The sequence below is a fragment of the Homo sapiens genome, chromosome 13 (genome assembly GCF_000001405.40).
Source record: "Homo sapiens chromosome 13, GRCh38.p14 Primary Assembly".
NCBI classification, from domain to species: domain Eukaryota; kingdom Metazoa; phylum Chordata; class Mammalia; order Primates; family Hominidae; genus Homo; species Homo sapiens.
The window spans coordinates 39341026-39358170 of NC_000013.11; the positions used below are offsets into that span (position 1 = coordinate 39341026).

Genomic DNA, 17145 nt, shown 5'->3' on the forward strand with positions numbered 1-17145 from the left:
GAATGCTGTGAATATATACTTTTCACTGACTTTGTTATTGTTATTAGCTTATGAATTGTGATTTTCATTTCAAAAGCAGTATATGTAATTCTTAATAACTTAGATGTTCCTATTAAAATGCTGGGACATCTTGAGCAAAAAAAAAAAAAAAAAAAATGATATGACTAGCCAGAATTTGCCATTGCCATATAAGAGTTTGTCATTTGACTTTACCAGTAGAGTGGCTGATCTTTTATTCCAGTGAGGCTCACTAATGTCTAAAATCACATGAACTACATAAAAATGACAATGTCATCATTAAATCTGTCCAAGGAACTAGATCTTAATGAATTCCCTAGAGAACTCCAACTTGATAATGGGAGCTAAGAAGTCACAACACTACTCTACAGGAAGGTGCAGTTAAAAGAAATTTGAAAAGCACCAGCTATACATGAAAATAATGGGCTAATTGAGGAAGCAAAGTGCAATCTTTTCTTCTCTGCCGGAAACCACAGAGTGGAGAAGCCCCTGCTCAGCAGACAATGAGACACAATCAAATCACATTCAGCACAATATGAATTAAGCATCTGAGAGTGGAATGACTTTCTCCACACCAACAAAGCCTCAGAGTGTAGAATTTTATTGGTCAGATCCTGTATTGTTCTTCCAGAGCAGCATGGCTTCTCATCCTGGAATGATTAAAAGTACCAGAAGCAAGTGGAATAGTCAGATATTCAAACTAAATTGATAAATGTGTATAGATAGCATAGAAAATGTACTTACATGAATAAATAGCCAGCATGTTCAATTGCCAAATCTGAAAAGTACAATGAATGTAGAAGCTAACTGAAACTGAATTCTTAAGGATTTGCTACAATATCTCAGGCTTACTAAACAAAAGGCTAGATCCAATATTCAGAATGCAATCTTTGCTCCTGAAGGAGCTAGTTTTTGTTATTTGTTATTATTTATTTATTTTTTTGGTGGGGACAGGGTCTCGCTCTGTTGCCTAGGCTGGAGTGCAGTGTTGCAATCTCGGCTTACTGCAGCCTCCACCTCCTGGGTTCAAGCGATTCTTGTGCCTCAACCTGAGTAGTTGGGATTACAGGAGTGCATGACTATGCCCAGCTAATAATTTTTTTTTTTTTTTGGTATTTTTAGTAGAGATGGAGTCTTGCCATGTTGGCCAGGCTGGTCTCGAACTCCTGGCCTCATGTGATTTCCCCACCTCGGCTGGGATTACAGGTGTGAGCCATCACACCTAGCCCTGAAAGAGCTAGTTCTGTTAAGGGGCCATGTGAGGGTCCAAACCTTTCTCTTTGGTGAAGACTTTCTGCTGGAGGGGCAGGGCTGTTGAGATAAGCTTTTTCAAATGGCCAACATCCCTGAAGGGCAGTGATATAAAATTTTCCCTGACACAGAAGTACAGAAGAAACCCAGCACTTTGTAGAAGCTGGAGGAACAGCAAGTCACTGGCAACTGTAACAGTCGTGTCACCATGCTGGTGACTGTCAGTCCAGTCACCTCCTGAACCACAGTCTAGCTCTTGTTGCCCTAAATCACATCTGAATACCACCCATATTCTCAAACTTAATACAAAACAGACCTGAAGTTCTTCTGTCCTCAGAATTTGGTTATGATTGAAATGTAACAAGCAGGAAGTTAGAATTCTGGTTGCAAAGAATTCACGTTGAAAGCAGAAACTGTCTTACTCATCTTTAATACACTTGTGCCTAGAACAATGCCTGGTTGATTAGTGAGTGAATTAATGAGAGGCCTTAAAAGAGAAAAGGAAATTTTACAGGACTATAGTAGTTGAAGAGCTACATTGGAGAAATTAAAGAAGCAAATCCGATGACTGAATTAACACTCCATGACTCATCTAGCTATTGATCAAAGAGAGAATTTATTCACAGAGATTTTCAAATACAAACAAAATAGCACTTTTAAATTTTTTACAAAATGAATATAGAAATAAATGTGGTACAGCACAGTACAATAATGGACAAAAGAAAACACGATCCAATGACTGGAAAATGTCTCTCATTACTCTCATATCTTCGGCTGAATTCTCTCCTATAGTGGACAGAAAGTTGCCCCTTTTCTTCATAAGAATATCATAGCAGAAGCTACTCAGAGAAATATTGCATATTGTGGAATAACATGGAAATACAAAGGCTTAACTCTAAAGGTCTGCATAAACACTGAAAATATGTTGAGGAACTAAATTAGAGTTTATGCAGGATATACAAAATACTGATAGTTTGGCTTATTGGTCCATTTATTAGGCTTAATGTATGTTTTATAAAGTGATAATACTGTATTTTAAATGTATATTAAAAAGAAAACAGAGGAGAAATGCACCACTAAACCTCCCAGTCTGTGCGATAATCCACGTTTGTGCATAGGCGTGTGTGGGGATGCATATGTCTGTATGTGCTTGTGTGCTTTTGGGAGTGCCGTGACCTACAGGGAACATCTTTGGGGGTACCCTGCTTCCCAACATAACACTGTTTCTACTAGCCCTTTGATTTTCTGAGTCCTCACCTTAAAAAAAAAAAACTAAAACCCAAACCCTTGTTTGTATATGTAGATTTGTTGTGTGTGTGTGTGTGTGTGTGTGTGTGTGTGTGTGTGTGTGTGTGTTGTACATTAACAATACTCTGTGGAATAGAAACACCCGATGCCCTGCAATATTTTTAGCCTTTGGTCCATTTTTCTCCATCATTCTATACTCTCCTTTTTTTTCCCCCACAAATCTCCTACAATCCTTCCTTCCTATATCATGTTCCTGATTTTATCGGGTTTCATTTTATTAGCATTGTATTGGATTAGAACTACTATCCCACCTTTTGAAGGTAGGTGGATGTTTTGACCTCTCCAAGCCCCTTTGGCCCATCTTCTCCTCTGTCTGCTCTTGGTAGCTCCATCTCAGTATGGGTAGTGCTTCTGTTTCTTGCCCGAAAAGCAAGCCAGCCACGTGCACAGCAGCATGGCGGCAGTGGCACCTGCTCCCGTGCAGTAGTAGGCCCAGCCGATTTCACACTTCCCTAAGGACAAAGGAAGGGGAAAGAAGAAAGTCACAGATGAGGATGATTTTGCAGCAGGGTTTCTTATTGCTTCCAGTGTGTGGGTTCTGAAACACCCTTTAGGAATATGGTATCCTCGCTTAAATGGAATAATAATGTGCTGAAAGTTATCTTGACAGTGAAGAAAGCAAGAATGGCTGGATGCATTTCAGAAGGATCTCAATGTCTACCTCTCACACGGGCTAAGAGAAGTCTAGTCTCCTCCACCAATATCCACACCCTGGCCAAAAATAGAGAAGAATGGCAGCAACCAGGATAGGAGATGAAGGAGTTAATTGTAACTTACATCACCCAAGCTCACCTGCGTAACAAAGTACTTTAGGGAAAAAAATATAAATGTTGATGCAATCCTTCTGCAAAAGGGCCACTTTGAGGAGGCAACCCATTTGAAGGATAATGGCTAATGCTAAGGTGAATACTGCCATTTATGTGGAATGGTCAAGTGACTTACTCTCTACTGTCTGAATCAGAAAACAAAAATTCCCAGATTCTTCTGGGATCAACACTCACCTTGAAGATAAAGTGTCATTTAAATGAAAATATAATGACAAGCATCCAAGTGGGTCCTGATTTCTCAGAGTTGGATTAGTCTTAATATTCATAACAAACCCAAAATATTAAAAATATGTAAGTAGATTTATTTATCTGTATTGTCTTTGTCAATTCTTTTATCAACATTATAAGGTAGAATACTAGCTCAACATGGTTGACAAAAAAGCTTCTCAGCATTTAAAGAAGTTGGTGACTTACCCATAGTCATATGCTTATAATTTGGAATAAAGTGAGCCAGGGCTCAAATCTGGGTTCTAGATCCCAAGAATAGGTCGGTGTCCCCAGATGGGTTAATGGAATGGATTTCTGCATTCATTAGCTTTTTCTTTCTTAATGACATCCAAGTTATTCTTTTTGTGTGCACAGTAAAGAAGGCCTCTATATCTTATACTGGACACTGTACTTTCTGCTTCAATTCTAATTCATTTTTCAGCCGGTCTTACCATCTTATCAGATGATGCTCCAACAGCAACCATGTTCCTCCTTTTGGTTCTTGCTTTGCATTACATTAGATACAAACATAAACACCAAGACATTTGGATTTCACAGTCACTGAACATAAAGGCCATAGATTGAAAATCACGGGGCTGGGCGCAGTGGCTCATGCCTGTAATCCCAGCACTTTGGGAGGCCAAGGCGGGTGGATCACCTGCGGTCAGGAGTTTGAAACCAGCCTGACCAACATGGCAAAACCCCGTCTCTACTAAAAATACAAAAATTAGCCAAGCATGGTGGTGGGCACCTGTAATCCCAACTACTCAGGAGGCTGAGGCAGGAGAATCACTTGAACCCAGAAGGTGGAGGTTGCAGTGAGCTGAGATCACACCACTGAACTCCAGCCTGGGTCAGGGAGCGAGACTCCATCTCAAAAAAAAAAAAAAAAAAAAAAAAAAAAGAAAGAAAATCACATCCCTTCTTTTCACAAGTCAGTCTGCAGGAAAACAGCCTGTTGCTTGGCAAGAGTGACACTGAAGTGAAACCTCAATGACAACCAGCGTTTGACTACTGCATACCGAAGTGTTCCCACAGCGTAGATAACCCCCCATAAAGAAACAATGCCTATGGCATAGATAACCTTTCATAAAGACGTTTATCTCATCTCCCTAGAGGTCACAAGTTTTGGCAAGGAAGTGTGAGATGTGACCAGCTGCACTTGTCTGTACCCTAAAAGCTTGCTATGTAAAGGCTGCTTTCTGGAGGGCAGGTGCAAAGATCCACCATCTCACAGCTGCCAGAGACATGGCTTCTGTTTGTACGTCCCTATCAAATGTTTCTTTCTGAGAAACTGGACGTGTCAGCCTCTTTCCTCACCTCTTTTCTCAGCCTCTCACCCTGTGGGGTGGGGTTTGCATAGACCTGCTCACCGCGGAACACAGCCACTTTTACCTTGTTCATTTGTGAAAAATTAATAACTTCCCTGCTGAAAATTTCCAAGACTGTTAGGTACAATGTGCAATTAAACTTTGGATCTTCACTGGACGTTTACTGGAGAAGTAGTTAGCATGTGCCCCAGGCGCAGATAAAAAGGCAACGCAAGACAGAGCTAAGGGAGTTATTGGCTTGTGGTCACCATGAGTCAACAGCAGCAAAATTTGATCAAGAGCCTCCACATCTTAAAAGTTCTTAGGCCATTACCTAAGCACACAGACATCAAGCTATGTTGTTCAGTCCTCAACCTAGGTGTCATCCTTGATTTCTCCCTTTCCACATCCAATGAATAATTAAAAAATAAGCAAATGTGTATTGATTACCATTTTCTCAAAATTGTCATGGAGCTTTACATGGAGTAAATATTAATGCTTAAATTCTCATAGGAACACAATGTGGTAGGTATATGAGTATCATTCTCATCTTTCAGAAGGGAAGACTGAGGCCAGGGAAAGTTTAATAAGCTGCTCCAGGACTTCTCCTTAATAAGTAGCAAGTCCTCTGCCACTCTCCCCTATATCTATCCTGTGTCCTGCCCCTTCTCAAACGCCCGATCATCCCCCAGGCAGTCTCGTCTGCTGTCATTGCTTTCTTGTCTCTCTGCTTCTACTCATATCATCACCAACAGCAAAGTAGGCAGCTGTCTTTTTAAAAATCAATCAGATCAAGCCATGCTCTTACTTAAAACCCTGTAATGACCCAGCACTTTGGGAGGCCAAGGTGGCTGGATCACTTGAGGTCAGGAGTTCAAGACTGGCCTTGCCAACATGGTGAAACCCCATCTCTACTAAAAATACAAAAATTAGCCGGGCAAATTTGATCAAGAGCCTCCACATCTTAAAAGTTCTTAGGCCATTACATAAGCACACAGACATCAAGCACACAGAGCAAATTAGCACAAGTGGCCCACCCATAAGAATCACTTGAACCCGGGAGGCGGAGGTTGCAGTGAGCCAAGATTGCACCACTGCACTCCAGCCTGGATGGCAGAATAAAACTCTGTCTCCAAAAAAAAAAAAAAAAAAAAAAGCCCCGTTAATGAATTCTCAAAAATCAATGTCCTTCCTATAGCCTATGAGGGCTTAAATGTCTGCTGACCTCTCACACTTCATGACCACTCTCTCCTGTGTCTTGTCTCTGGCCACACTGACCACTTTTTCTGGAGCACATCAGCCTTGTTGCTGACATGAGAGCTTCACACTTGTGATTCCTTCCACCCAGAAATTCTACTTCCAGATCGTGGAAATGCCAGGCCTCTGGTAAACACCTAATAAATAATTGTTGAATGAAAGGCAAGGTAAAAGAAAAGCAGAAAGGAAGCAAACCGGGCAGGCAGCTAATACCTGAAAAACAGTAAGTCTAGCATTTTAAGAGTAACTCGTGTCCTGTTTTGGCACTGAAATTTTGGAGAGAACTTCCCAAACCAAGTATGTATTTCCGGCCTCATCTAGAGAGTGTGCTAAATTTAACGGGGTAACAGATTCTGAAAGATCACCTCTCCACCTCTGGGTAGGTCTCACTGGCACAATGACCTCCATTAATACAGATAGAATAAGCATTTTTCACTGGTAACCGAGTCCCCCTTCACAGGTCAGATTTGCTGACAACCATGAACTAATGTGGTTGTGAGTCTTGGGAATAATCTCCATTTTGAATTATTCTTTAGCTAGATTAAATACACCTATGAGGGGGAATTAATTAATAGGTAGAGAAGAGATGGCCAATCGTGTAGAACATTTCAAAGAGTTGGCAAAATTTGTGGTCCATCTGTTTAGCACTGGGCTCATAACACAGAATACAATCAATTGTTCATTATTAATAATGTATTGACCTATACATAGTTCTATGACCTAACATGAAAAGTAGAGTATATAATTCTTTATTAATTATTTGGCACTTAAGAAAAAATTGCTGAGGCTAATTATTTGAAAACAGTGTATGTGACAGTAGACACATTTATTAAACAAAGATGGAAAAAGAAGCTAGTAAAGGGTTGGCTATCAGAGGACAATGAGAGAGAGGATAGTATTGGTTTTGCTTTTGTTTTTGGCAGAGAAGTCAATAAAATAGCAGAAGTTTAAGCTTCAGGGTCTCGTAAGTGGCAGGGGAGCTACAGCCGATGCTGTAGATTCTCCAGCCAGTTCCTCTCTGTCCCTTTGCTGGTTCTGGACTCTCAATCTCCAGCTTCTGTTCGTGCTTTGCTCCCAATAGCTTATATTTGCAACGCTCTTCAGAGGACCCATGAGTGACTGGCATTACTCTGTCCCAGCTCTCTGACAGCTGAAGTGCCCCCTGGTGTGACCCACAGCCAGCGATGTACTTGTACTGGAGTGTGCACACCGGGCTTTCTTCCCTCCGGGTGGAACAAAGTCTGCAGTGTAATGATAATGAATGTTCCCAGCCCTGTGAGTTCAGGCTGAGGCTGAACCCTCATGACAAACTGCACCCTGCTGGGTGTTTACTCCTTCCCTACCTTGCTTTTCCACTTCCCCACTGTTTTTTCCTTGGCACATTTCCTCAATCACTTGAACTCAAATCCTCATCTCAGGATGCACTCTGGGGAACCAGATCTAAGGAGTGAATGAACAAAGACTTTCTTGCTTTTCTTTGTCAAGGGATCTGTAAGTTTCTACCATTGTCAGAAGCTAAGCCACCCCACCCGCCTACCCAAGCCCTGCTATCCCCTGAGAGAGGCAGAGCAGAGCTTTCGGCACCAGCTCTCTCCCACTCTCCCCACACTACCCTCTTCCTAGGGCAAATCCTTGTCTTGCTCAGGTGTAATTGTAATTTCTAGTCATTGTTATCTGGATCCATTCCTGTTTATGTCATAAAACAGGTAGTTAACGTATCAGGCTAAATGTCTATCAGATGAAAACTGGCAGAAAATTAAGCAAAGATCTTTAAAGAGTGTAACATAATAGCAGAAAATGTTTGAGGATATAAGAAAATATGGCCACCAATCAGACATATATGCAAGTTTGTGTGTATGATTTACAAAATTTGGGATTAAAATTCAACAACTGGTTAAGGTCCAAAATGAGCTGTTAATGTTCAATGTGATTTAAAAGAAAAAGAGTCCTTCATTTAAGACATGAAGGCTTTTTCATTTACTAAGTAATTTTTAAAATAATTATTAATTCAAAAAGTGATTTAATATGAATTTGTTCTAGTATTACAAATTATATTGAGATATAGCCAGCCAATCAAAGTAGCCTCAAAAAATATACAAAAGTACATATGCATACATGTCTTTTGAGAAAAATGGTCAAGATCAGTCTAGTTAGAGTAAGGTGTGTCAATAGAATTTAAGCAAATCTGAAAAAATACTGTCATCCAACCCTGATTCTTGATTTTCTTCTTCCCTTCCTTTTTCCTTTCCTCGCTCCCTCTCTCAATTTATTCATTGATTCAACAAACATTCAGTGAGTGCCAGCTCCAACTATGAATGAATCACTGGGTACTGGGAGCTTTGTTGGGAATAATATAATTCCTGCTATCAAGAAGCTTATTGTCTAGTCAAGGAAATAAGCATTAAGCAATAATGAGACATTTCTATACTGATAATTGTGATATGTGCTTTGAAGAAAAAAATCCAGGATGCGAAGGCAGCATATTGCAAGTGATCTACGTAGTGCGGTCAGGTCAGTGAAAGAGAGCCTTAAATTAGAAGTGAGATCTAAGCCAAGACCTGCAGATGTTCAGGAGTGAGCCAAGCGTGAATGTGGGGGGCCAGGGAACAGTATGCTTGGAGTGAGGGGATGGGAAATATAATGGAGAAATGCAGACAGATTTGGGTCTTGCTAAAGTATTGCTCAAGTAAGAGATGGATCCCATTTTGGGTGTAAAGCAAGGGATGGGTTTGGGTATGACCACCTCTAGAGTTCGGAGCTTGAAGCCTGAAAATTCCCTCTTTGAAACTGTCATTTGTATTGTTGGGTAGGAATATGAGGTATTTAACAGTCACAAATAAATCTTAAGCTCCTGCTACCTGTTTTGCTATGTTATAGAAGCTGGAAACGCAGCCGGGAACAATACAGACAGAGTCTTTGGTCTCATGAAGCTTACTTTCCAGTTCATATCACTCACATCAGCTGTATTATTCTGAAACATTCCTTGTATATTACACATGTTTTGTAGAAATTCAGTTCAATGAAATAAACCAGATACAATAGGATTTTTTCATAAAACTATAAATGTGAAAGCAAAACATCCAGAATTCTGTGAGAGATTAAAGGTTTACCAGGCACAGGCTTGTCACTTTGAACTTCTCCAAAGGAAAAGGAAAAATAGATTTTTCTCTCTGAGCATGATCCTATTGTTAAAACCTATGTGCTCAATAACAAGAAATTAGCACCATGTTTTACAGTCATAGAAAAAAAGTGTTTCTGCATACTCTTCATGAGTAGTAATGAAACTAAATAAAACCAGGAAATACAGGGCCATTCTTCCATGGCCTCCCTCTATGCCTGTCATGGCAATAAATGCTTGTTATTATAATGCAAACAGAAAGCATTTTTCCAGAGGGCAAGTTTTGTCTGTGATCCTTTCAGGAAATTAGAGAAGGAAATCTGTTTAAACTTTCCCTTTTGCTCTCCGTAATGCTCCATCAAACAGGACTCCAAGCTTGCTTGGTTGGCAAATTACTGCTTTCAACAATGGGGAATACTATTCTTGACAGATAAAATAGAGGTTAATGGGACAGAAAGCAGCATACCATAGCCACCTGCCAAGTCGACAGAAAAAGACTGTGGCGGAATTCCAGGGCAGCCCCAGAGTAGAGATAGGGGTGGGGAGGGATGTTGCTGATTTCTTACGGTGGCTCAAATTAGTTTTTAGTATAGCTTTTGGAAGTGATAGAGACAGAAAGAGAGGTACAAAGAATCCAGTCTTATTACATATAACAATGGAATTCCAGTGATCGTTTCATCTTTTAAGGACACTGGAGTTTAACCTCTGCCTTTTCATTAATTTGTTCAATTAACAATTTGGAGCCTACCAAGTGTGACTGTCTGCTTATTTCAATGTTCTATTCGGGCACTCAGTATGATGACCTGATCACAACAACCGATACACATTTGTGGCATGAATGGATATCAGACGTTATACTTGTGCTAAGAATAGAAATACAAAATTAATCGTCATATAACAGCTGTCATATATAGACAGCAAGTGAAGGGCTACAAGTTATGAAGGGGTCTCTCCTTTAATCATTTTTGTCTAGGATCCTTGATCTGTTTATACTTTCCAACATTATTCTCACTTTGAAGATGCAGAAACTGAAGGATAAGTAACTTACCCATTATCTCAAATAAATAGCAAAGCTTGAACTCGGAACTTGGGTCAAACTGATTCCAGAGTTTTTTCCTGTGCTCAGATAATGTATAAAAAAAGATCTTAATCAAATGCATTTTTCTCATTTGTTAAATAGTACTTGTCTTGGCACTTATATGCCCGAGAAAAAAATAAAACATATTTTACCTTACCCCTTCAATTTGCCAGTCTTCTTAGAAGACTACATGCTGTTAAAGTGAACTAAATATGTCCTGGGAATAACTCTGTACTTCTATATTTGAGTCCTTGTGGATGAACTATAACCTAGCTTAATAGGCAGACAAGATTGAAAACCTAACTTAGGAGTACGCACCCGTAATAATTGCTGAGTCTTCGCCAGTCCCAGCAGCCATAGTTCAACCACTCATATACTGCTGAGTGTTCAAACTATATTCAAATAAAGCAAACACCAAACTGTACCCAATCCAGTTGTTTCTGTACCTCACTTCTGATTTTTGTATGTTACGTTCCTTTTTTGTCTATAAATTTGTACTGACCATGAGGCACCCCAGTAGTCTCTCTGAATCTGTTGTGATACAGGGGGGCTGCCTGATTTGCGAATTGTTCATTGCTCAATTAAACTCCTTTAAATTTAATTCAGCCAAAGTTTTACTTTGACAATGCCCATGTTCAACAGCATGGTTTCAATTGCTAAAGGTCTGCACCTTGCAAAGACTTGACAGCCCCAATTCCTGAGGCAATGAAACCACACTTGGCACCTTTGGCAATGCATCTTCTTTAAGGATGTGGAAATGTGATGTCTAAAATAAGCTTGCTTGAGGAACAGATAACTAATGCTACCTGCAGGAGAAACTGCCTCTAGATATGGTCCCAGACTGAATGTTTTTGACCCTACCTTGACTCTGTGTGAGCCCTAGCTGATTAAGAGCTTCAGCTCCTGGATACACTTTAGTTCCACTCCAGAGCTGCTGTCTGCCTATGAACCCTCAGAAGTTTGGCTGGTGCCACCATACCATCCTAACTTTCACCCAGAGACTCCATGGTAGCGCCCTCCACTGTGTACTGTATTGCTCTGGAAAGCGCAGCACAGGACACTGTAACTCGGGCAGTTCCTGCCCTCTGACTGCATGCCATTTATCACAAAACCTCCATGTTTACAGTTTCTTTTCTTGAACTTGAGCTCCATGGGATCCCCATTTCTCTTTCCCCACAAAGTCACTGCTGAGCACCCATAATGCCTTGTAGCCATAGTGTCTGAGTCAGGATATGATAAGCTGACTGACTTCATTTATCCAGGCAGAATATCTTTTGTCTGTGATATTTTGAAAATTTTAACATGTTAATATTTAAATGTAAAGTTTGGGTAAAAAAGGATACATATTAGATTGTATCCTTGTTGCTGTATTAATAATGAAGGCAGGAAGGTTGAAGGATCAGTAGAAAGAGGGAAAACATTTATATATATATATGTGTATATATATATAAATGTATATATATGTGTATATATATATATAAATGTATATATATGTGTATATATATATAAATGTATATATATATAAATGTATATATATGTGTGTATATATATATACATACATACACACACACACATATATATATATATATAATTTTTTTTTTTTTTTTGAGACAGAGTCTCAGTCTGTCTCCCAGGCTGGAGTGCAATGGCGCTCACTGCAACCTCTGCTTCCTCCCAGGTTCAAGGTATTCTCCTGCCTCAGCCTCCCAAGTAGCTGGGATTACAGGTGTGTGCCACCATGCCCAGCTAATTTTTGTATTTTTAGTAGAGATGATGGGGTTTCACCATGTTGGCCTGGCTGGTCTCAAACTCCTGACCTCAGATAATCCAGCCGCCTCGGCCTTCCAAAGTGCTGAGATTACAGGCGTAAGCCACCACGCCTGATCCTAAATAAAACTTTTAATGAGACAAGTAGTAAAAATGATTTGTCATATGCCTATAAAGAGAAGACCACCCAAACTTGGTTGGTGGGCAGAAAATGTAGAAGTAAAACGGCTGAGAGAAGAATGTTTGTGGGGTGTGGTGCTTTTTAAAAGCTACTTTGCGGCCGGGCGCGGTGGCTCATGCCTGTAATCCCAGCACTTTGGGAGGCTGAGGCGGGCAGATCACGAGGTCAGGAGATCGAGACCATCCTGGCTAACATGGTGAAACCCAGTCTCTACTAAAAAAAACCAAAAAATTAGCCAGGTGTGGTGTCATGCGCCTGTAGTCCCAGCTACTAGGGAGGCTGAGGCAGGAGAATCTCTTGAACCCGGGAGGCGGAGGTTGCAGTGAGCCGAGATTGTGCCACTGAACTCCAGCCTGGGCAACAGAACAAAAAACAAACAAACAAAAAAACTCCTGTTTCTTTATGTCTGCTTATTACAAAAAGTATAAACTCATATTGATTGTCAGGGCTGTCCTATACACAACTCCAAGGCGTCTATTTATTTTGCATTCTATGGGCTTCCTAATGGATGTGCCCTGGGGGTGAGGTGCTGCACACATGCATATAATGGGAATACCGCTCCCTGCACAGTATTCCCCAAAAGAATAGGTAGTGAGAAGGTGTGTGTAATGGTAGAATCTCACAAATCCCATGCATTGAGTCTATTTTCAAAATATCCCAGGAGGCCATCTTGATGCTTCCAAAGTCACCAGAGCAGCACTGCAGTGGGTGGGACCAGTATTTCCTCTCAAGAACTGCAGCTCTCCACTGCTGCTGTGAATGCACTGAAATATGAAAGAAGTGTGCCACTGAGTAAGAGCCTATCTGCCAGCCCTTACATGTATGCACCGTCCACTGGATTGCAGCCTGAATTACACCATCAAACAAAAATTCTTTCACCACACATCACTGGTGAAGTGCAGGAATCTAGCCACAAATAAAGATCCTGCACAGAGTCTTGGGCCTCTGAAAGCACCCAGAAGAAGCCAATTGACTGTACATGACATACACCACAGTCAAACCCTCAGACAAATAAAGAATATAAAAAAATAAAAAGCCCCACCCAAGCAACAACAATTTCAAAAAGATAAAAGAACACCAGCCCTCTCAGATGAAAAATAATCAGGCAAGAACTCTGGCAATTCAGAAAGTCAGAGGGTCTCCTTACTTCCAAATGACCGTACTAGCTCTCCGGAAATGGTTGCTAACCAGATTAAAATGGCTCAAATAACAGACACAGAATTCAGAATATGGATGGGAAAGAAGTTCAACAAGATTCAGCAGAAAGTTAAAATCCAACCCGAGGAAACCAGTAAAATAATCCAAGGAAACCAGTAAAATAATCCAAGAGATTAAAAAGACACGGCCATTTTAAGAAAGAACCAAACTGAACTTGTGAAATTGAAAAATTCACTGCACGAATTTCGTAATACAGTTGGAAGCATTAATAACAGAATAGACCAAGCTGAGGAAAGAATCTCAGAGCTCAAAGACCAGTCTGATGAATCAACTCATTCAGGAAAAAATAAAGAAAAAGGATGAAAAAGAATGAACAAAACCTTTGAGAAATATGGGACTATGGAAAGAGGCCACACCTACGACTCACTGGCATTTCTGAGAAAGAAGGAGAGAGAGTAAGCAATCTGGAAAACACAGTTGAGGATATAGTCTATGAAAATTTCCACAATCTCACTAGGGAAGTCAACATTCAAATTCAAAAAATTCTAAAAACCCCAGCAAGGTACCATACTAGATGCATAGTGATCAGACTCTCCAAGGTTGACATGAAAGAAAAAAATCTTAAAGGCCATTACATAAAAGGGTCAGGTCACTTACAAAGGGAGCCTCATCAGGCTAACAGCAGATTTCTTAGCAGAAAATTTACAAGCCAGGAGAGATTAGGGGCCTATTTTCAGTATCCTTAAAGGAAACAAATTCCAACCAAGAATTTCATTCTAGCCAAACTAAACTTCACAAGCAAAGGAGAAATAAAATCCTTCTTAGTGAAGCAAATGCTAAAGAAATTCATTACCACCAGACCAGCCTTACCAGATGTCCTTCCTCTAAACATGGAAATGAACGAGTAGTACCTGATACCACAAAAACACATTTAAGTACCTAGTACACATATCCTATAAAATAATCACACAATCAAGTATAAAACAACCAGCTAACAACATGATAACATGATCAAAACCTCACATATCAATATAAACCTTGAATGTAAATGGTACAAATGCCCCACTTAGAAGGTACAGAGTGGCAAGTTGGGTAAAACAAATAAGACCCAGCCATCTGCTGTCTTCAAGAGACCCATCTCACATGTAATAACAACCATGGGCTCAAAGTAAAGGGAGGAAGAAAGATGTATTGTGCAAATGGAAAACAAAAAAGAGCAGGGGTTGCTATTCTTATGTCCAATAAAACAGACTTCAAACCAACCACAGTGAACAAGGACAAAGAAGGGCATTACATAACGATAAAGGGTTCAATTCAACAAGAAGACTTAACTATCCTCAGTGTATAAACACCCAACATTAGAGCACCTCGATTAATAGAAGAAGCACTTCTAAACCCATGAAAAGATTTAGACAGTCACACAAAAATAGTGAGGGGTTTCAAGATCCCACTGACAGTGTTAGGCAGATCATTAAGGCAGAAAACCAAAAAAAGAAATTCTGGATTTAAACTCAACATGACCAATTTGACCTAACAGACACCTGCAGAATATTCCACTTAATGCACATTATTTTCATCTGTGCAAGGAACATATGCTAAGATTGACCACATGTTCAGCGATAAAGCACGTCTCAATAAATTTTTAAAAAGTAAAATCATACCAAGCACATTCTCTGACCATACTGAAATAAAAATAGAAATTGATACCATGAAGATCTCTCAAAACCACATAATTACATGAAAATTAACTTACTCCTGAATAACTTTTGCATAAACAATGAAATTAAGGCAGAAATTTAAAAAATCCTTTTAAATCAATGAAAACAGAGACACAACATAACAAAATATCTGAGATGCAGCAAAAGAAGTGTTGAGAGGACACTTTATAACGCAAAATGCCTACATCAAGAAGTTAGAAAGATCTCAAGTTAATAATCTAACATCATATCTGTGGGAAAAGAAAAACTAGAAAAAACTAACACCAAAGCAAACATAAGAAAACAAATAAATCACAGCAGAACTAAACAAAATTGAGATGTAAAAATTCATACAAAAGATCAATCAAACCAAAACTTGGTTCTTTGGAAGGATGCACATGATAGATAGACTGCTAGCTAGATTAACAAAGAAAAAGCGAGAGGATCCAAAACAGCACAATCAGAATTGACAAAGATGACATTATAACCAATCCCACAGAAATACGAAAGACTCTCACAAACTATTATGAACATCTCCATGCACACAAAGTCATTAATCTAGAGGAAATAGGTAAATTCCTGGAAACATACAACTTCTCAAGATTAAACAAGGAAGAAATTGAACCCTGAACAGACCAATAATGAGTTCTGAAATTGAATCAGAAACTTAAAAAGCTACCAATCAGGCTGGGCATGGTGGCTTGCACCAGTAATTCCAGCACTTTGGAAGGCCAAGGCTGGCAGATCACTTGAGCTCAGAAGTTCGAGACCACCTTGAGCAACATGGTGAAACCCCATCTTTATTAAAAAATATAAAACGTTATCTGGGTGTGGTTGCATGAACCTATAGTTCCAACTACTAGGGAGGCTGAGGTGACAGGATGGCTTGAACCTGGGAGGTGGAGGTAGCAGTGAGCCGAGATGGTGCCACTGCACTCCAGCCTGGGCAACAGAGCCACAGCCTGTCTCAAACAAAAAATAAATAAAACAAAACAAAACAAAAAAAGTAAAAAGCTACCAATCAAAAAAGCCTTGTACCAAATGGATGTACAGTCAAATTCTACCAGACACTCAAAGAAGAGTTTTGTACCAATTCTAATGCATGATAAAACCCTCAACAAACTAGGCATCAAAGGAACACACCTCAAAATAAAAAGAGCCATCTATGACAAACCCACAGCCAACATCATACTCAATGGGCAAAACCTAGAAGCATTCCCCTTGAGAACTGGAACAAGACAAAGACGCCAACTTTCACCACTCCTATTCAACATAGTACTGGGCTCCCTAGCCAGAGCAACCAGCCAAGGGAAAGTAACAAATGGCATCCAAATAAGAAAAGTATAAGTCAAACTATCTCTCTTTGCTGGTGATATGATTCTATACCTAGAAAACCCTTAAGACTCTGTCAAAAGCTTCCTAGTACTCTTCAATTACTTCAGTAAAGGTTCAGGATACAAAATCAATGCAGAAAAATCAGTAGCATTTTTATACACCAATCATATTCAAGTTGAGAGCCAAATCAAGAATGTGATCTCATTTAAAATAGCCACAAAAAATAAAATACCTAGGAATACATGTAACCAAGAAGTGAAAGATTTCTACAAAAAGAACTACAAAATACTGTTGAAAGAAATCATCGATGACACAAACAAACGGAAAAACATTCCATGCTCATAAATTGGAAGAAATCAGAAACTTAAAAAGCTACCAACCATTAATATCAATATCATTAAAATAACCATGCTGCTCAAAGCAATCTACCAACTTTGTAGGTTGGTAGATACTGCTCAGAGCAACCTATCAACTACTAACATCATTGTTCATACAATTAGAAAAAAAATTCTAAAATTCGTATGGAACCAAAAAAGAGCCCGAATAACCAAAGCAATCCTAAGAAAAAAGAATAAAGCTGGAGGCATCACATTACCTGACTTCAACTATACAACAAATTTACAAAAACCAAAA

At 39.6% G+C, this 17145-nt stretch overlaps 1 protein-coding gene across 2 annotated transcripts in view; it reads right to left on the reverse strand.

Annotated features, from left to right (window-relative positions):
• Positions 1-1866: 1866 nt before the first annotated feature.
• Positions 1867-17145, reverse strand: part of LHFPL6 (LHFPL tetraspan subfamily member 6) — a 260302-nt gene continuing 245023 nt past the window's right edge. For both annotated transcript variants that reach the window (XM_011534861.2, NM_005780.3), the window contains exon 4: positions 1867-3029. In XM_011534861.2, the coding sequence (XP_011533163.1) occupies positions 2911-3029 (119 nt within the window). In that variant the 3' untranslated portion in view covers positions 1867-2910. The remainder of the gene's footprint in view (positions 3030-17145) is intronic.